This window comes from Homo sapiens, chromosome 15 (genome assembly GCF_000001405.40).
Source record: "Homo sapiens chromosome 15, GRCh38.p14 Primary Assembly".
Lineage (NCBI taxonomy): Eukaryota > Metazoa > Chordata > Mammalia > Primates > Hominidae > Homo > Homo sapiens.
Window position 1 is genome coordinate 64324425 of NC_000015.10, and position 22075 is coordinate 64346499.

The window sequence follows — 22075 nt, forward strand, 5'->3', positions numbered from 1 at the left end:
CTTGCTGAGTCTTCCAGTTTTCATCTATCTCCCATGCTGGATGCTTCCTACCCTCGAAGAACATCTGACTTCAAGTTCTTCAGCTTTTGGTCTCTTGGACTTACACCAGTGGTTTGCCAGAGGCTCTCAGGCCTTCGGCCACAGACTGGAGGCTGCACTGTCTGCTTCCCTACTTTTGAGGTTTTGGGACTCAGACTGGCTTCCCTGCTCCTCAGTTTGCAGATGGCCTATGGTGAGTCTTCACCTTGTGACTGTGTGAGTCAATTCGGCTTAATGAACTCCCCTTCATATATACATATATTCTATTAGTTCTGTCCTTCTAGAGAACCCTGACTAATACACCCTAGGACCACATATTCTTGTTGCCTAATTATAAAGGAACTCCATGAAATTTCTTTAATGGTTCTTAAGAGTCACTGCTGACTGTGCAACAAATGCACATGGTATTATAAGAAAATTTATTCTTTTAGGGAATAAGTACATTTTCATGTAAAATATTCAAGTTTTGAATACATCAATAGAATCCTACTAAATTAGCTTGTATTGTACAGTGAAATTATTACCATACAGTCTGATACTCTGTAATATGTGTTAGCAGGGTAACTATTGAACATGTAAAAAGCATCTGAATCATGAGAACTTGATTAATACAGGATTTAATAAAGAATTCTTTTGTTGTTTTCAGTATTTGTGACATCTGGGTAGTGGACACTTTTTCCTATAATCATCCCCTACAGCTACACAGTAATAGAAGTATATTTTAAGGAGAATGGAGCAACACAATTTCAAGTGGTTGTTAGTGATATTTTACCTTCACTGGGATATAGCTACAGTTACATTATCTCACTCATAAGCAGCATAGCAGGCATCCGTTTGAATTCTACAAATGTATATGCTCAGCTTTCAGACTCATCTTTCATTATTTTCAGTAAAAACAACTCCAAATTCTATTAATTGGAGAAGGTATACAGGTGGTGAGCTTGCCTAAAAGACAATGCACATATCCTGATAGCTGTTAGTACTGCCTTATTCTCATATTATAATGGCTTACTTACTTCATACCAAGAGAAACTCATAGCCCCAGAATCACAAAAAATTATATAATCATTTCTATAACAAATTTACTCAAATAGCAGAGAAGTAGATTCACAACTACTTTAAATAAAGGTTTTAAAAGCTCCATAATTATAACTACCTTTAACTATTATAACTTTAGGCCTTAAATCACATCTCTAAATTTTTACAGTAATAAGACAAGCATCTTTTAAGTGCCTACTGCATACCAGGCACTATGCAAGACACTTCACTTGGACTATCTTAATAACTATCCTATGAAAGAGGTATGATTATTATCACTTTACATAAAAGAAAAGATTAGAGAGGGTAAGTAATTGGCCTAATACTACACAGCTAAGAAATGGCAGAGACAGAGACGGACAGAGAGACAGAGAGTTAGTTCAAACTCATATCTGCCCTGATTCCAGTGGTGCTACCCACATCATGTCATATCTTATATTACATCACACTTTACCTCATTAAATGTGAATAAAAACCTTTGCATCTCAGCTTTCAGTTTTGTAGTGTTTTAAGCCATGAACTACAAAAAGAAATAGTTTTGGAAACAGAGTCCTGCTCTGTCACCCAGGCTAGAGCGAAGTGGCACAATCTTGGCTCATTGCAACCTCGACTTCCCAGGTTTCAAGTGATTCTTGTGCCTCAGCTTCCTAAGTGGCTGGGACTACAGGTGTGTGCCATGATGCCCAGCTGATTTTTGTATTTTTAGTAGAGACAGGGTTTTGCCATGTTGCTCAGGCCAGTCTCGAACTCTTGGCCTCAAGTGATCCACCTACCTCAGCCTCCCAAAGTGCTGGAATTATAAGTGTGAGCCACCATGCCTGGCCCAAGAAAATATTTTTAACATTTAAAAAAGTAGTTTAGGCCAGGCATGGTGCTTCACACCTGTAATCCCAGCACTTTGAGAGGCCGAGGTGCGCAGATCACCCGAGGTCAGGAGTTCGAGATCAGCCTTGCCAACATGGTGAAACTCCGTCTCTACTAAAAATACAACAATTAGCCGGGCATGGTGGCAGGCACCTTTAATCCCAGCCACTCAGGAGGCCGAAGCAGGAGAATCGCTTGAACCTGGGATGTGGAGGTTGCAGGGAGCTGAGATCACGCCATTGCACTCCAGCCTGGGTGACAGAGCGAAACTCTGTATCAAAAAAAAAAAAAGTAGGGGGGAGGAGCCAAGATGGCCGAATAGGAACAGCTCCGGTCTACAGCTTCCAGCATGAGCGACGCAGAAGACGGGTGATTTCTGCATTTCCATCTGAGGTACCGGGTTCATCTCACTAGGGAGTGCCAGACAGTGGGCGCAGGCCAGTGGGTGCGCGCACCGTGCGCGAGCCGAAGCAGGGCGAGGCATTGCCTCACCTGGGAAGCGCAAGGGGTCAGGGAGTTCCCTTTCCGAGTCAAAGAAAGGGGTGACGGACGCACCTGGAAAATCGGGTCACTCCCACCCGAATATTGCGCTTTTCAGACCGGCTTAAAAAACGGCGCACCACGAGACTATATCCCACACCTGGCTCGGAGGGTCCTACGCCCACGGAATCTCGCTGATTGCTAGCACAGCAGTCTGAGATCAAACTGCAAGGAGGCAGCGAGGCTGGGGGAGGGGCGCCCGCCATTGCCCAGGCTTGCTTAGGTAAACAAAGCAGCCGGGAAGCTCGAACTGGGTGGAGCCCACCACACCTCAAGGAGGCCTGCCTGCCTCTTTAGGCTCCACCTCTGGGGGCACGGCACAGACAAACAAAAAGACAGCAGTAACCTCTGCAGACTTAAATGTCCCTGTCTGACAGCTTTGAAGAGAGCAGTGGTTCTCCCAGCACGCAGCTGGAGATCTGAGAACGGGCAGACTGCCTCCTCAAGTGGGTCCCTGACCCCTGACCCCCGAGCAGCCTAACTGGGAGGCACTCCCCAGCAGGGGCACACTGACACCTCACACTGCAGGGTATTCCAACAGACCTGCAGCTGAGGGTCCTGTCTGTTAGAAGGAAAACTAACAAACAGAAAGGACATCCACACCGAAAACCCATCTGTACATCACCATCATCAAAGACCAAAAGTAGATAAAACCACAAAGATGGGGAAAAAACAGAACAGAAAAACTGGAAACTCTAAAACGCAGAGCGCCTCTCCTCCTCCAAAGGAACGCAGTTCCTCACCAGCAACGGAACAAAGCTGTATGGAGAATGATTTTGACGAGGTGAGAGAAGAAGGCTTCAGACGATCAAATTACTCTGAGCTACGGGAGGACATTCAAACCAAAGGCAAAGAAGTTGAAAACTTTGAAAAAAATTTAGAAGAATGTATAACTAGAATAACCAATACAGAGAAGTGCTTAAAGGAGCTGATGGAGCTGAAAACCAAGGCTCGAGAACTACGTGAAGAATGCAGAAGCCTCAGGAGCCGATGCGATCAACTGGAAGAAAGGGTATCAGCAATGGAAGATGAAATGAATGAAATGAAGCGAGAAGGGAAGTTTAGAGAAAAAAGAATAAAAAGAAATGAGCAAAGCCTCCAAGAAATATGGGACTATGTGAAAAGACCAAATCTACGTCTGATTGGTGTACCTGAAAGTGATGGGGAGAATGGAACCAAGTTGGAAAACACTCTGCAGGATATTATACAGGAGAACTTCCCCAATCTAGCAAGGCAGGCCAACGTTCAGATTCAGGAAATACAGAGAACGCCACAAAGATACTCCTCGAGAAGAGCAACTCCAAGACACATAATTGTCAGATTCACCAAAGTTGAAATGAAGGAAAAAATGTTAAGGGCAGCCAGAGAGAAAGGTCGGGTTACCCTCAAAGGGAAGCCCATCAGACTAACAGCGGATCTCTCGGCAGAAACCCTACAAGCCAGAAGAGAGTGGGGCCAATATTCAACATTCTTAAAGAAAAGAATTTTCAACCCAGAATTTCATATCCAGCCAAACTAAGCTTCATAAGTGAAGGAGAAATAAAATACTTTACAGACAAGCAAATGCTGAGAGATTTTGTCACCACCAGGCCTGCCCTAAAAGAGCTCCTGAAGGAAGCGCTAAACATGGAAAGGAACAACCGGTACCAGCCGCTGCAAAATCATGCCAAAATGTAAAGACCATCGAGACTAGGAAGAAACTGCATCAACTAACGAGCAAAATCACCAGCTAACATCATAATGACAGGATCAAATTCACACATAACAATATTAACTTTAAATGTAAATGGACTAAATTCTCCAATTAAAAGACACAGACTGGCAAGTTGGATAAAGAGTCAAGACCCATCAGTGTGCTGTATTCAGGAAACCCATCTCACGTGCAGAGACACACATAGGCTCAAAATAAAAGGATGGAGGAAGATCTACCAAGCAAATGGAAAACAAAAAAAGGCAGGGGTTGCAATCCTAGTCTCTGATAAAACAGACTTTAAACCAACAAAGATCAAAAGAGACAAAGAAGGCCATTACATAATGGTAAAGGGATGAATTCAACAAGAGGAGCTAACTATCCTAAATATATATGCACCCAATACAGGAGCACCCAGATTCATAAAGCAAGTCCTGAGTGACCTACAAAGAGACTTAGACTCCCACACATTAATAATGGGAGACTTTAACACCCTACTGTCAACATTAGACAGATCAACGAGACAGAAAGTCAACAAGGATACCCAGGAATTGAACTCAGCTCTGCACCAAGCGGACCTAACAGACATCTACAGAACTCTCCATCCCAAATCAACAGAATATACATTTTTTTCAGCACCACACCACACCTATTCCAAAATTGACCACATAGTTGGAAGTAAAACTCTCCTCAGCAAATGTAAAAGAACAGAAATTACAACAAACTATCTCTCAGACCACAGTGCAATCAAACTAGAACTCAGGATTAAGAATCTCACTCAAAGCCACTCAACTACATGGAAACTGAACAACCTGCTCCTGAATGACTACTGGGTACATAACGAAATGAAGGCAGAAATAAAGATGTTCTTTGAAACCAACGAGAACAAAGACACAACATACCAGAATCTCTGGGATGCATTCAAAGCAGTGTGTAGAGGGAAATTTATAGCACTAAATGCCCACAAGAGAAAGCAGGAAAGATCCAAAATTGACATCCTAACATCACAATTAAAAGAACTAGAAAAGCAAGAGCAAACACATTCAAAAGCTAGCAGAAGGCAAGAAATAACTAAAATCAGAGCAGAACTGAAGGAAATAGAGACACAAAAAACCCTTCAAAAAATCAATGAATCCAGGAGCTGGTTTTTTGAAAGGATCAACAAAATTGATAGACCGCTAGCAAGACTAATAAAGAAAAAAAGAGAGAAGAATCAAATAGACACAATAAAAAATGATAAAGGGGATATCACCACCGATCCCACAGAAATACAAACTACCATCAGAGAATACTACAAACACCTCTACACAAATAAACTAGAAAATCTAGAAGAAATGGATACATTCCTCGACACATACACTCTCCCAAGACTAGACCAGGAAGAAGTTGAATCTCTGAATAGACCAGTAACAGGAGCTGAAATTGTGGCAATAATCAATAGTTTACCAACCAAAAAGAGTCCAGGACCAGATGGATTCACAGCCGAATTCTACCAGAGGTACAAGGAGGAACTGGTACCATTCCTTCTGAAACTATTCCAATCAATAGAAAAAGAGGGAATCCTCCCTAACTCATTTTATGAGGCCAGCATCATTCTGATACCAAAGCCGGGCAGAGACACAACCAAAAAAGAGAATTTTAGACCAATATCCTTGATGAACATTGATGCAAAAATCCTCAATAAAATACTGGCAAACCGAATCCAGCAGCACATCAAAAAGCTTATCCACCATGATCAAGTGGGCTTCATCCCTGGGATGCAAGGCTGGTTCAATATACGCAAAGCAATAAATGCAATCCAGCATATAAACAGAGCCAAAGACAAAAACCACATGATTATCTCAATAGATGCAGAAAAGGCCTTTGACAAAATTCAACAACCCTTCATGCTAAAAACTCTCAATAAATTAGGTATTGATGGGACGTATTTCAAAATAATAAGAGCTATCTATGACAAACCCACAGCCAATATCATACTGAATGGGCAAAAACTGGAAGCATTCCCTTTGAAAACTGGCACAAGACAGGGATGCCCTCTCTCACTGCTCCTATTCAACATAGTGTTGGAAGTTCTGGCCAGGGCAATCAGGCAGGAGAAGGAAATAAAAGGTATTCAATTAGGAAAAGAGGAAGTCAAATTGTCCCTGTTTGCAGACGACATGATTGTTTATCTAGAAAACCCCATCGTCTCAGCCCAAAATCTCCTTAAGCTGATAAGCAACTTCAGCAAAGTCTCAGGATACAAAATCAATGTACAAAAATCACAAGCATTCTTATACACCAACAACAGACAAACAGAGAGCCAAATCATGAGTGAACTCCCATTCACAATTGCTTCAAAGAGAATAAAATACCTAGGAATCCAACTTACAAGGGATGTGAAGGACCTCTTCAAGGAGAACTACAAACCACTGCTCAAGGAAATAAAAGAGGATACAAACAAATGGAAGAACATTCCATGCTCATGGGTAGGAAGAATCAATATAGTGAAAATGGCCATACTGCCCAAGGTAATTTACAGATTCAATGCCATCCCCATCAAACTACCAATGACTTTCTTCACAGAATTGGAAAAAACTACTTTAAAGTTCATATGGAACCAAAAAAGAGCCCGCATTGCCAAGTCAATCCTAAGCCAAAAGAACAAAGCTGGAGGCATCACACTACCTGACTTCAAACTATACTACAAGGCTACAGTAACCAAAACAGCATGGTACTAGTACCAAAACAGAGATATAGATCAATGGAACAGAACAGAGCCCTCAGAAATAACGCCGCATACCTACAACTATCTGATCTTTGACAAACCTGAGAAAAACAAGCAATGGGGAAAGGATTCCCTATTTAATAAATGGTGCTGGGAAAACTGGCTAGCCATATGTAGAAAGCTGAAACTGGATCCCTTCCTTACACCTTATACAAAAATCAATTCAAGATGGATTAAAGATTTAAATGTTAGACCTAAAACCATAAAAACCCTAGAAGAAAACCTAGGCATTACCATTCAGGACATAGGCATGGGCAAGGACTTCATGTCCAAAACACCAAAAGCAATGGCAACAAAAGCCAAAATTGACAAATGGGATCTAATTAAACTAAAGAGCTTCTGCACAGCAAAAGAAACTACCATCAGAGTGAACAGGCAACCTACAACATGGGAGAAAATTTTCGCAACCTACTCATCCGACAAAGGGCTAATATCCAGAATCTACAATGAACTCAAACAAATTTACAAGAAAAAAACAACCCCATCAAAAAGTGGGCGAAGGACATGAACAGACACTTCTCAAAAGAAGACATTTATGCAGCCAAAAAACACATGAAAAAATGCTCATCATCACTGGCCATCAGAGAAATGCAAATCAAAACCACAATGAGATACCATCTCACACCAGTTAGAATGAATATCATTAAAAAGTCAGGAAACAACAGGTGCTGGAGAGGATGTGGAGAAATAGGAACACTTTTACACTGTTGGTGGGACTGTAAACTAGTTCAACCATTGTGGAAGTCAGTGTGGCGATTCCTCAGGGATCTAGAACTAGAAATACCATTTGACCCAGCCATCCCATTACTGGGTATATACCCAAATGACTATAAATCATGCTGCTATAAAGACACATGCACACGTATGTTTATTGCGGCATTATTCACAATGGCAAAGACTTGGAACCAACCCAAATGTCCAACAATGATAGACTGGATTAAGAAAATGTGGCACATATACATCATGGAATACTATGCAGCCATAAAAAATGATGAGTTCATGTCCTTTGTAGGGACATGGATGAAACTGGAAACCATCATTCTCAGTAAACTATCACAAGAACAAAAAACCAAACACCGCATATTCTCACTCATAGGTGGGAATTGAACAATGAGATCACATGGACACAGGAAGGGGAATATCACACTCTGGGGACTGTGATGGGGTGGGGGGAGGGGGGAGGGATAGCATTGGGAGATATACCTAATGCTAGATGACGAGTTAGTGGGTGCAGCGCACCAGCATGACACATGTATACATATGTAACTAACCTGCAAAATGTGCACATGTACCCTAAAACTTAAAGTATAATTAAAAATAAAATAAAATAAAATAAAAAAACCCAAATCACAAAACAATTTAAAAAAAAACAAAAACAAAAAAAAAGTAGTTGAAAAATAATTTAAAATTTTTCTTGCTCATATAAGCAAAATATCTTACTTTTATGTTTAAAGTTACATAAAATTTTTTAAAAGAATTTTTAGCCCACAAGATAAATGAGATTATGTAAAATGTTCAAACCTAAGAATCACTGGTGTTCCTGAGAGAAAAGAAAAACCAGAAAGTTTGGAAAACTGATTTGAGGGAATAATTGAAGAAAATTTCCCTGACTAGCTGGGAGCAGTGGCCCATGCCTGTAATCCCAGCACTTTGGGAGGCCAAGGTAGATGGATCACCTGAGGTTAGGAGTTCAAGACCAGCCTAGCCAACATGGTGAAATCCTGTCTCTACTAAAAATACAAAACTTAGCCAGGTATGGTGGCGGGCACCTGTAATGCCAGCTACTCGGGAGGCTGAGACAGGTGAATCACTTGAACCCAGGAGGCCAAGGTTGCAGTCAGCCCAGATTGCGCCATTGCACTCCAGACTGAGCAACAAGAGTGAGACTCCATCTCAAAAAAAAAAAAAAAAAAAAAAAAAGGAATGCTAAAAGGAGGTCTAAATCTTGAAACAATGGCTGGGCACAGTGGCTCATGCCTGTAATCCCAGCACTTTGGGAGGCTGAGGTGGGAGGATTACTTGAATCCAGGAGTTCAAGACCAGCCTGGGCAACACAGTGAGACACCATCTCAAAAAAAAAAAAAAAAAAAAAAAAAAGGTCAATATGTACCAGAATAGAAGCTCCTGAAAGCACAAAACTCACAAGGTCTATAAAATAACATAATGAGGACAACAAAGTGTCTAGGTAACAATCAACATGATGACTAAAGCAGTACCTCACATCTCAGTATTAATGCTGAATGTAAATGGTCTTAAATGCGCCACTTAAAAGGTACAAATTGGCAAAATGGATAAAAAATTGGAAACCAAGTATTTGCTGTCTTCAAGAGGCTCACCTAACACCTAAGGATTCCTACATGCAAACGGAAACCAAAAGCAAGAAGTAATAGCTGTTCTTACATCAGATAAAACAGACTTTAAAGAAACAACAGTTTAAAAAGACAAAGTCATTATACAATGATAAAAGGATCAATTTAACAAGATTTTACAATCTTAAACATATATGTACCTAATTCTGGAGCATCTAGATTCATAGAACAATTACTACTAGACCTAAGAAAAGACAGAGACAGCAACACAATAATAATGGGGGACTTCAACACTCCACTGATAGCCCTAGATAGATAGATCTTCGAGCACTAGATAGATCTTAGAGACACAAAGTCAACAAAGAAACACTGGATTTAAACTGCACTTGAGAACAAATGGACCTAACAGATATTTACTGAACATTCTACCCAAGAACTGCAAGATATACAGTCTTCTCATTACCACATGAATCATTCATTACAGGCATGCACTGACCACCACGCCCAGCTAATTTTTTTGTATTTCAGTAGAGATGGTGTTTCACCATGTTGGCCAGGCTGGTCTTGAACTCCTGACCTTAAGTGATATGCCTGCCTCAGCCTGCCAAAGTGCTGGGATTACAGGAGTGAGCCACCGTGCCCAGCCTAAAATCTTTTATCTCAGCAGTCCTCAACCTTTTTGGCACAAGGACCAGTTTTACAGAAGACAATTTTTCCACAGACTGGGGGTGGAGGGCAGGGGGGAATGGTTTAGGGATGATTCAAGCACACTACATTTATTATGCACTTAATTTCCATTATTATTACATTGTACTATGCAATGAAATAATTATTCAACTCACCATAATGTAGAATCAGTGGGAGCCCTGAGCTTGTTTTCCTGCAACTGGATGGTCCTTTCTGCAAGTGATGGGAGACTCTGGCCAATCATCAGGCATTAGATTCTCATAAGGAGTGCATAACCTACATCCCTCTCACGTGCAGTTCACAACAGGGTTCACGCTCCTATGAGAATCTAATGCTGCCATTGATCTGACAGGAGGTGGCGCTCGGGCAGTAATGCAAGTGATGGGGAGTGGCTTTAAATACAGATGAAGCTTCACGCACTCACCTGCCACTCACCTGCCACTCACTTCCTGCTATGCAGCACGGTTCCTAAAGGGCCATGGACCACTACTGGTCTGTGGCCCAGAGCTTCAGGACCCCTGTTTTATCTAACAGATGACAGCAGTTAAACTTACCTTCACCAAAAAGTGTACTTCTATAACTACCTAATTTAGAGTAAGCTTAGAGACCACAATATTATTTCCATTTTTGGTTTCCCTAATAACTCCAGAAGAGTTACTACAAAGATTCAGATTATTGACTTATTTTGCAAGTACTGCTCAGTTCACATAATCTACAAAGAAAATGAGAATCTGCTGCAAATCTATCTGTCATTTCAGAACACATCCTGTGTGAGAAGGGTAGCCTAATACATGCTTTTAGGAAAAACATATTTCAATACCTGATAAAGAGTTTTGTCTACCTCACTAAAAATTTTTTTAAGCAAAGCTAGGCTAAAACAATAAAAACATAACCTTATCTGAGAAGATGGCTTTCCTTCCCTACTCAAGGAAAATAAATAATAAAACAATCAAGATGAAGCCAGTATTGAGGAGCCACAGACACTTCTTACTGGCATAAAAATAAAGTACCACAAAGGTCCTGATCCTCATTTTTCTTTCAATTGTTATACTTTTCCTTAAAAAAAATAAGGGCTTTAATAACTGCACTTTGGTAACAAAGTCAGTCACCATGACTGCCTATAGAAACACAAAAAGGCAGCCTTGATGATTGTCCCAAGAAATTACTGACTTGATTTTTCCATTAACTGCCTCATCACTATCTACCTCCTAAAGAATCAGTATATTTCTTTCATGAATATTTACTTTGTGATTGATGATTTGAATTTTAAGCTTTAATAACCAACTTTAACAATTATTATTTTTTAAAAACCCTATCACAAGCTTAGTAGTAAAGAATCATTCTAATGTTGATGGAAACAATTAGAATTTCAACCTTTTCTGTTGATCAAGAAAATACTAGACTGTCATACAAGCTACATCCTCACTTGAGTTCTCTAAGGATGAAAGTCAACAAATTCTTGCTGTTGTTCCTGTATTGTCCTAGTCATTTCATTTCAAAAACCTAAGAATAAGGAGAAAATAAAATTTACCTGCAACATCCCAGTAATCTTTTTCAATGCAAGCACAAATATTTCCTGTTTGTCACTATACCCCCAGTACCTACACTAGGCCTAACACATAGTATAACAGTTGCTCAATAAATTTATGGAGCATGAATGAATAATATTCATCTTAATTCATATATCCATCTATCGATTTATGTGGCTATTTTTTACCTATCTGCCTACCAAACTATTCTATGGAACTCTATGCGACTAGGGACTGCTCTCTGACTTACGTACCTAAACCGTTCAAAGCACCATGCCCAAAACAGAGTAAACAAATGTAAAATTGAATTGACTGTTTTCAAGTAACTGAAATTTACTTGACAAATTATCTTGATTAACTAGATTCGATCTCTCTCATTTCACTCCTTATTCTATTCACAAGAAAATTACAAAGCAAAACCACAATGTCCTCAAAGTGTATAAGCCACACTCTACATACTTCCTTTCTTCCTTTCTTATTTGTTTTAAAGCCCAGGAATTCTACTGAAGTCAGCATAAATGCTACCTGCACTCAATACTTACCTATGTCACTGAACATGCTTAATTGATAAATTTAAATAATAATTTTGGCAGGTCCTGTGCTATGTGCCTATAATCCCAGCTACTCAAGAGACTGAGGTGGGAGGATCACTTTGAGCCCAGGAGTTCATGACCAGCCTGGGCAACTTAGAAAGACTCCATCTCAAACAAAAAAATAACAATAATAATTAATTTTTGATCTGAAAATGTAAGAGATTCAAAATAACTGACATAGATATAACAAACTAGAAAGCATCTATAACCAAGGAAAATATAACTTTCATTAGAGAGGAAGTTTACAGGTTAGTAACAGTTCATGGAAAACTCAGTTTTAGTCACGATTCTATGGAAAAATCATCTACTCAAGTAATATAAAAATTTTCACTAGTGAGATTTACATTACAGAAAATCCTTCACATAAACATATTTTATAAATATTCACATATGTCTTTTTAACGTATTATTTACTTTTTTCTGATTCAGAAACACATGCTTGTTATTTTGAAAAAAGCAGAACTCGGCCGGGCGCAGTGGCTCACACCTGTAATCCCAGCACTTCAGGAGGCCAAGACGGGTAAATCACCTGAGGTCAGGAGTTCAAGACCAGCCTGGCCAACATGGTGAAACCCCATCTCTACTAAAAATACAAAAATTATCCAGGCGCAGTGGCAGGCACCTGTAATCCCAGCTACTCAGGAGGCTGAGGCAGGAGAATCGCTTGAACCTGGGAGGTGGAGGTTGCTGTGAGCTGAGATCTTGCCACTGTATGCCAGCCTGGGCAACAGAGCGAGACTCCGTCTCAAACAAAACAAAACAAAAAAACAAAAGCAAGCAGAACTCATAGAAACATATGACAAAAAAATGAGAGTGAAACTTCATCACCAAAAAAGACTTCTAATAAGTTTTTCCAGTAATATACTAACATTTTTGTCTGTTTTAAGAGACAGAATCTTGCTCTGCCACCCAGGCTGAAATGCAGTCGTACCATGATAGCTCACTGCAGCCTCGAACTCCTGGGTTCAAGCTATTCTACCACTTCAGCCTCCCGAACAGCTAGGACTACAGGTACCACCATGCCTATTTTATTTTTTGTAGAATGGGTCTCATTATGTTGCCTAGGCCGGTCTCAAACTCTTAGCCTCAAGTAATCCTCCCACCTCAGCTTCCCAAAGCTCTGGGATTACAGATGTGAACCCACCTGGCTTTGTTTTTTACTGTGATAAAATATATATAATATTTATAATTTAACCTTTTGTAAATGTACAATTCAGTGGCATGAAAACACACTCACAATATTGTGTAACAGTCTCCAGTATCTATACCCAAAATATTCTCATTATCCTCAACATTAATTCTGTACCCATTAAACAATAGCTCTGCTTTTCTCTGCCCCATCAGCCCCTGATAACCTCTATTCTACTTTGTCTTTGAATTTGTCTATCCTAGGTAGCTCATAAGTGAAATCATGCAATATTTGTCCTGTGTCTGACTTATTATACTAAGCATGTTTTCAAAGTTTACCCACGTCATAGCATGTGTCAGAATTTCCTTCCTTTGTATGTATATACTACATATTGTTTATGCACTCATCTGTCAACAGGCGCTTGGTTGGCTATTATGAATGCTGTTATAAAGGTACTGTACAAACATCTGTTTCAAACCCTGTTTTTGATTCTTTTAGATATATGCCTAAGAGAGGACTGCTGGGTCTATATGGTAGTCCTATGTGTAACCTTTCGAGAAACTGCCAAGCTGTTTTCCACAATGGCTGCGGCATTTTATATTCCCACCAGCAATAAATAGAGTTCCAATTTCTCCACATCCTCACTACTTTTTTACTTTCTGTGTGTGTATTTTAATAGCTATCTTAATGGATGTGAAGTGATATTTAGTATGATAGCAAGATTAGGACTTCTATAGATGTGCAAGAACCATTTTCTAAGTAAGCATAGGCATGGGACATCTAACAACTTGATGGTTAAAAACACTTGAGCCCGGCGCGGTGGCTCACACCTGTAATCCCAGCACATTGGGAGGCCAAGACAGGCAGATCACCTGAGGTCAGGAGTTCGAGACTAGCCTGACCAACACAGAGAAACTCCCATCTCTACTAAAAATACAAAATTAGCTGGGTGTGGTGGTACATGTCTATAATCCCAGCTACGCAGGAAGCTGAGGCAGGAGAATCGCTTGAACCTAGGAGGTGCAGGTTGTGGTGAGCTGAGATCGTGCCACTGCACTCCAGCCTGGGCAACAAGAGTGAAACTCGGTCTCAAAAAAAAAAAAAAAAAAAAAAAAAAAACACTTCTGGCCGGGCGCGATAGCTTACACCTGTAATCCCAGCACTTTGGGAGGTGGAAGCTGGTGGATCACCTGAAGTTGGGAGTTCGAGACCAGCCTGACCAACATGGTGAAACCCCGTCTCTACTAAAAATACAAAATTAGCCAAGGATGGTGCTGCATGCCTGTAATCACAGCTACTTGAGAGGCTGAGGCAGAAGAATGGCTTGGACCCAGGAGGTGGAGATAGCAGTGAGCCAAGATCACGCCACTGCACTACAGCCTGGGCAACAAGAGCGAAACTCCATCTCAAAAAAAAAGTACTTCCAAGAAAAGGGGAGAGTTAAAGTGCAGGATTCTGAAGGGAAAAAGTTAAGGAGGAGAGAAAAGGGGCTACAGGAAAAGAATTAGCAGTTACAAGGGATACAGTCAAGTGAATGTAATCTCTAGTACAGTGATTCTCAAAGCATTGTCCCTAGGTCACCAGCATGAACATCATCTGCAAATCTGCTGAAAATGGAAATTTGGAGGCCCTACCCCAGATGAGCTGAATCAGAAATTCAGGGGGTGAGGACCAGCAATCTGTGTTTTTTTGTTTTTTGTTGTTATTGTTGTTGTTGTTTTGAGGTAGAGTCTCACTCTCTCGCCCAAGGGGGAGTGCAGTGGCACAATCTCCGCTCACTGCAACCTCTGCCTCCCAGGTTCAAGCGATTCTCCTGCCTCAGCCTCCCAAGTAGCTGGGATTACAGGCACCCACCACCACGCCCGGCTAATTTCTGTATTTTTAGTAGAGACAGGGATTCGCCATGTTGGCCCAGCTGGTCTCAAACTCCTGACCTCAGGTGATCCACCCGCCTCGGCCTCCCAAAGTGCTGGGATTACAGACATGAGCCCAGCCAGCAATCTGTGTTTTAACAAACCCTCCAGAAAATTCCAATACATGCTAACATTTTAGAACCACTAGTGTCTAATAAGAGAACTTTAATTATGTAATTAAGATTAAAGCAAAAGAAACAGGAGGAGCAGTAGTGCCCACTGACAACTGTCAGAGGACAAATTGCACAAGGCCTTAAATACGAATATTAAATCAAGAGGAGTGACTGACAGTTCTCAATTTCTGAGGCTCTTTTCCTCTATTAATACCACTGCCCTCAACTAGAGAATGGTCTTTTCAAACTCTCACAGAGTATTTATGAAACTTGACTATATGCTATGCCCAAGAACCACTAAGTTGCATCCATCAATTTTGATGTTGTTTTTTTAATTAACATTCAGTGTTATGCATTGGTAAACCTCTATCATTATTTCTTTTGTAACCTCAAGAGTTATTTAGATGTGTTCTTTTAAATTTCCAAACATTTTTAAAGGTCATTTTTTTAAAAAACTGAGTCCTAATTTAGTTTGCACTGTCATCGAAGGTTTGGTCTATAGAATACATATTCTTTGAATTTGTTGAGATTTTCAGGGCTACTTTGAAGGTTGTTACCTCTCGCATTACAGAAATTTTGGATTCCACAAAGTAACTATATCTGCAAATAGTAGTAACTGTATGAAACTAATTCTTTAAAACTTGAGTACAATGTTCTATATTCACCCAATAGCTCTGTCTTGTTGTGTTGTTTTAATGATTTTTTTTTCTTTAGCACATCTCTGCTGGCAGGAAGTATTGTTTTAATGTCAAAAACATCTATTCTAATATAATGGTGAATTTATAAATTTCTCCTTGTAGTTGTTATGTAGGTTTATGTATGTTGAACCTGTATTATCTGGTATAAGTAACAGAATTCTAGTATCTTCCTGGTAAACTAAACCTTTTATTGTTATATGATGTGGTAGAGACTGCAGGTGGCTTTCCCAGAATCACCACTCCCTCAGTAAAGTCCAGTTTTATTCTGGGCAGCCTAATTACCTTGCAGCAAAGGGCTAATGAAGTTGCTAGGTAGAACTTCTGTGAAACCACTTTAAGGTCATGTATGTTGGCTCATGCCTGTAATCCCAGCACTTTGGGGGGCCGAGGCCAGAGGATCACTTGAGCCCAGGAGCTCAAGACCAGACTGGGCAATATGGCAAAATCCTGTCTCTACAGATAGTTTTTTAAAAATTAGCCAGGCATGGTGGTGTGTGCCTGTGGTCTCAGCTACTTAGGAGGCTGAGGTGGGAGGATCACTTAAAGCCTGGGTAGTTGGTACTGCAGTGAGCCATGATCACACCACGGCACTCCAACCTGGGCAATAGAGTGAGGCACTGTCTCAAAAACACCACCACGTCCAGCTAATTTTTATCTTTTTTTTTTTTTTTTTTTTTTTTTTTGAGACGGAGTCTCGCTCTGTCGCCCAGGCCGGACTGCGGACTGCAGTGGCGCAATCTCGGCTCACTGCAAGCTCCGCTTCCCGGGTTCACGCCATTCTCCTGCCTCAGCCTCCCGAGTAGCTGGGACTACAGGCGCCCGCCACCGCGCCCGGGTAATTTTTTGTATTTTTAGTAGAGACGGGGTTTCACCTTGTTAGCCAGGATGGTCTCAATCTCTTGACCTCATGATCCACCCGCCTCGGCCTCCCAAAGTGCTGGGATTACAGGCGTGAGCCACCGCGCCCGGCCAATTTTTATCTTTTTAGTAGAGCCGGGGTTTCACTACATTGGCCAGGATGGTCTCAATCTCCTGACCTCATGATCCACCCGCCTTGGCCTCCCAAAGTGCTGGGAATACAGGCGTGAGCCACAGTGCCCGGCCTGAAATATTTATTAAACTGTCATTTATTTCTTCTGTTGGTTGGTTGGTTGGTTTCAAAGACATCTTGCCCTGTCACTCAGGCTGGAGTGTAGTGGCATGATCAGATCTCACTGCAGCCTCAAACTCCTGGGCTCAAGCAATCCTCTTGCCTCAATCTCTTGAGTAGCTGAGACTACCAGCTCGTGCCATGACACCCAGCTAATTTTTTTTTATTTTTTATAGAGACAGAGTCTTGCTATGTTGCCCAAGCTGATCTTGAACTCCTGGCCTCAAGTGATCCTCCATAAGCCACCACACTCAGCTTAAACTGTCTTAAGACTAAGATGCTTAGAGAGGGAAAAGTGGTATTACAGTAAGCTTCTTGGGCATGACTTACTCACAGACTATCTACTCTAAAATCTAAAAGACCCTTTTTAAAAGCGGGATGAGGTGACTCTTCTAATTTAGTCAGCATGAGCAAGAACAAACAAAACCTATAAACTCAACTATTGAAAGTTACTTCGAACTTTATACTGAAAAAGCACTATACAAAAATTTCCATCGGTTATTCCTCATGGTCACTTTTACAAGATGGTTTGTTCCCAACTGGCTAAATGACTTCCCTTGTTACCCACTGTATGCACTATTTCCCTTCCGACAGTGACGTCCCCTTGCACTCTGTCAAGTAGGATTAAAACTTTTCAGACTCAAGTATTTTCCTTTTTCTCGTGGCTCTCCAGATATTATTAGCTGTTTCTTCAAGAGGCTTTAGAGGCAGAGATTCTTGAGCTTGACATCCTGGCTCCACCACATACCAGCAGTGTGAACTTCAGAAGTAACCTTCCTTTCTCTGCCTCATTTGCTGATCTGTAAAACTGGAATAGCCACACTTCAGTGGCTTGCTGTGAGAATAAAATGCATTTAACATGCCACTTGTTATGTAAACTCTCAATAAATTGCCATCACTATTATTAGTATTATGTTTTCTCACTAATACTTCCCTAGAACAAGCCTTTACTGCTGCTAGATTACATCCACTAGATTATGTCTGCATTTCCTCAACCAGCCCACTTCATTCATATCTTTTAGTAATCCAAAGTATTGTGCAGATCACCATCAGATTTACCTTGAATACATACAGATACTTCCTGTTACTCTCTAGCTTAAGAACCTTTAATGTGGTGATGTCCATCTCATGTCATCCAGGGATAAAGCAACCCTTGTTTATCCCATCTTGGCTCTTGGTCTGTGCCCATGGCTGGTTCGTGCCTTGGATACATGGAAAATAAGTAAATGATTAAAAAATAAAAATTAAAAATCTTCTATGGATCCCTGCTTATGAGCACATCAAATCTAATTTCCTCTGCCTAACTTTCATTATCCTCTCTTAACAGCAGTTCCCAAACTTTGAGTGTACATCAGAATCATCTGGCATGCTTGTTAAAATACAGATTGCTGGACCCCAGTCTAGAGTTTCCAATTCAGTAGGTATGGGACCAGGGCCTTAAAATCTGCATTTATAATAAATTTCCAGGAGACGCTGCTGCTGCTGCTGCTGGTCAAGAAACCACATTTTGAAAAGTACTATTCTATCTTGACCAGCCTGACCAACATGGAGAAACCCTACCTCTATTAAAAATACAAAATTAGCGGGGTGTGGTGGCGCATGCCTGTAATCCCAGCTATTCGGGAGGCCAAGGCAGGAGAATCGCTTGAACCCAGGAGGCAGAGGTTGCAGCGAGCTGAGATCGTGCCATTGCACTCCAGCCAGGGCAACAAGAGCAAAACTCCAACACACACACACACACACACACACACACCTCTTCTAAAATAGACCCCATTCTGCCTCTGTAGGCTTATTTCTCCTTCCTCCCCACCTAGCACACACTGCTTTGACTGGATTAATCTTTTCACAGACTGTGGCCAATTCTCCCACCCTGTGCTGGCCTAGTACACTTTCTTGCTTTTCCAAATCAAACCCAGCCTTTAAGCCTGTGATTCTTAACACTGCCTGCACATTACAAACATCTGGGAAAGCTTTTAAAAACTGCAGATGCACCTCACCCAAGATTCTGATTCATCTGATTTTTGATTAAGTTTTCCCAAGTGATTCTAAGGAGCAGTCAGAGTTGAGATCCACTACTTTAACTTTAATCTCCTTCCTGTCAGAATTGTGAATACTCACTGGATTTTCTCCCCTCTAAATTACTGTAATGTTGACAGATTAGATCAAGTTTTTGCTTCATTACATATCTGTGTTATTCTCTACCTTTCATTTTAAGTCTTGTTTCTTTCAACTCGAAATTGAAGATATAATCTATATCACCATACTAGAGCTGCGGTAATATAGAAGCTGAAGATATAGACTATATCTTCAATTTCTATATTACCACAGCTCTAGTATGGTGATGAATACACAGTAGAAACTGATTATTTCTTCACTGATTGTGAGTTCAAATTAGAATTCAGAGCCTTAAAATATTTTTTGGCGTATTATTTTGACAAAGCCTTAAAATATTTCTAATCTATTGAATTCAGCAAATTACATTCCTTTCTTTTTAAACATGGTTCTGCAACAAACTCATTTTGTTATGGTGAGTCATTTAGCCCCTTCCTTCCCCAATAAATAAATTGGAAAGAAAAATAGTAATGTATAAAAATGCTTTAAAAAATAATAAAATGAATAATAGCATTGTAAGTGGCTTCACAGTTGCTTCCTTAGAGCAAATGGCCTTTTCTAAATCCATTAAAGACTGTTTCAAAACAGTTAAAACAGAATCAAAGCGCACATATTTAAAGATGCTGAAACTCTGAATAGTTCTATGATTTGTTTTCTCAACAGATGTGCATCCTTCAAGCCCTGAATTCACCAGATGCATATTAAATTAATCTGTACTTTTAGTTTTTACATAACACTCTACTCTAGTTTTATAAATACACCACATGAAAGCAGAATTCCATTGTTGCTTTATGGCATTAAATATTAACAGATTATCTCCGCTGTGCAAAAAATACATTAAGATTCATTTTAATGCAGCCAAATGTGTGCTCATTAAATATAGGCTATAATAACTTCACCACTATTTTTAAATTGGCTGATTTCTATCTGGAACGTGAAACATAACAAATTTGCTCATAGAAATCCAGTGACACCTGGTACCTGAAAGAAATATACACATTTCAATTATAAGAAATACTTAATTTAAGTCCACTTAAACCTCCTGGAAAATTTACTTCTTATAAATCCATAATTTCTTCACTAACTGCAATGAAAAAATTAGCACAGTTATATCAGAAATAAGACTACACTGAATTCCAGTGTGACTCATTAATTAGCTGTACAATCTTGAGCAAGTCACTTAGCCTCTCTGCACTTAAGTAGTCTCAGCTGTAAAATGAAAGGGTCTAACTAGACCATCTCCATATTTTCTTTTAGCTTTATGATTTCATAATCTATGAAACTCAAGAAACACAGCATTAACCAGATGGATCCCATTAAAGACAAAGTGAGCCTTCATATTGATTGATTTGGAGATAATGTATCTCTGGAGAATCTAAGTGCTTTCACACAGACAGTTCCTAGTTGACTTATTTAACTAGGTGAAAAAACAAACAAAACTCACCAAACAGAGTTATTAAACAATTCTTGCATCATACCCTAGATGACCAGAATATTTAGATGTCATTATACCAATTAAGGTTAAAATGTTTTAGAAAATAGAAGCTGTTCTAGAAGTACAGGACAGGACAGTTATAAAGCCAAGTGAAAGAGGATTCTAGCTAACAATTAGTACTCAGGCTACATGAGAATAAAATGTCTCAGGACAGCATTCTATTACTTTTAGAATCAAGATTCTCAGCCTGAGACAGAATTGAAAATATTCAGGAAAGTACAGCAGTACCCATGGAAGCGCTTCCTATTCAGTTTTTGCCAGCTCAAGCTTCTAGATAGTCTTCAACAAGTGTAATAAGCAGCAGCAAACACTAGAGAGGGTGATCAAAATCTGTATAGTTGAAACCCTTCGCAACAATAAAACCCAAGTGACAAAGGCTCTTGTCCTTAGTGACAGTTGAAAAATTCTGCATTTAAATTTCCTATCAAGCCCCTTTACAACCTGAAACATCACATGACTGTGCCACATTTAGCTCATACTTCCTAAGACTCTAATACATGTATGAAATAATTAAGCAGTTGTCAATTAAGACCTAATAACCTAAAATCAATCTTCTTGAAAGGGAAAACCACACTCTGAACAATGCTTCTAATTACATTCGAGAACGTTAGGAAACTCTCATTTAAAAATAACTCCCACAGATTATTTCATTTGTTTTAGTTTCTTTAAGAACATCCTTATTAACGCTTGTAGAATAGAAAAAAAAACTTATTTTTTTTTGAGATGGAGTCTCACTCTGTCGCTAGGCTGGAGTGCAGTGGCACAATCTCGGCTCACTGCAACCTCCTACTCCCTGGTTAAGCGATTCTCCTGTCTCAGCCTCCCAAGTAGCTAGGACTACAGGCATGCGCCACCACACCCAGCTAATTTTTGTATTTTTAGTAGAAACGGGGTTTCACCTTGTTGGCCAGGATGGTCTTGATCTTCTGACCTCGTGATCTGCCCACCTCAGCCTACCAAAGTGCTGAGTGTGAGCCACTGCACCCGGCAGAAAAAATTTGCATAAACCAATTGGTCACGACTGGATGCAGTGGCTCACACTTACAATCCCAGCACTTTTGGAGGCAAAGGTGGGCAGATCAGGAATTCAAGACCAGACTGGGCAATATAGTGAGACCTCATCTCTGTTTATTTTTTTTAATTAAAAAATAAATTAAAAAAAAAACAATTGGTCACCCATGTGCATGCATATACACATATTCCTTACACCTTTCCAAAAAAAAAAACTAACTTAAAATAAACCTTATAACTAAATGTAAACTACAAAACGATAAAAAATTCTTGAAGATAAATAGGAGAAAATGTAAGTGACCTTGGGTTTGGAAACGAGTTTTTATTTATTTATTTATTTATTTATTTATTTATTTATTTATTTATTTATTTTGAGACATAGGTTTGCTCTTGTTGCC

The 22075-nt window shown here is 40.0% G+C and overlaps 1 protein-coding gene and 1 non-coding gene across 5 annotated transcripts in view, besides 2 other annotated features; one reads left to right on the top strand and one right to left on the bottom strand.

Annotated features, from left to right (window-relative positions):
• CSNK1G1 (casein kinase 1 gamma 1) overlaps positions 1-22075 on the bottom strand; it is a 190649-nt gene that overhangs the window by 158900 nt on the left and 9674 nt on the right. The window lies entirely within an intron of this gene.
• Positions 1667-2527: an enhancer, noted in NCBI's record as "OCT4-H3K27ac-H3K4me1 hESC enhancer chr15:64618290-64619150 (GRCh37/hg19 assembly coordinates)". NCBI's record gives its function as "activates a minimal SCP1, AML or CMV promoter by ChIP-STARR-seq in primed H9 embryonic stem cells {active_cell/tissue: H9 hESC(primed)}" and the evidence as "EXISTENCE:reporter gene assay evidence [ECO:0000049][PMID:30033119]".
• Positions 2528-3387: an enhancer, noted in NCBI's record as "OCT4-H3K27ac-H3K4me1 hESC enhancer chr15:64619151-64620010 (GRCh37/hg19 assembly coordinates)". NCBI's record gives its function as "activates a minimal SCP1, AML or CMV promoter by ChIP-STARR-seq in primed H9 embryonic stem cells {active_cell/tissue: H9 hESC(primed)}" and the evidence as "EXISTENCE:reporter gene assay evidence [ECO:0000049][PMID:30033119]".
• Positions 18142-18274, top strand: LOC124900364 (small nucleolar RNA SNORA48). Its single transcript, XR_007064814.1, has one exon. It is a non-coding gene; the product is annotated as a small nucleolar RNA SNORA48 (small nucleolar RNA).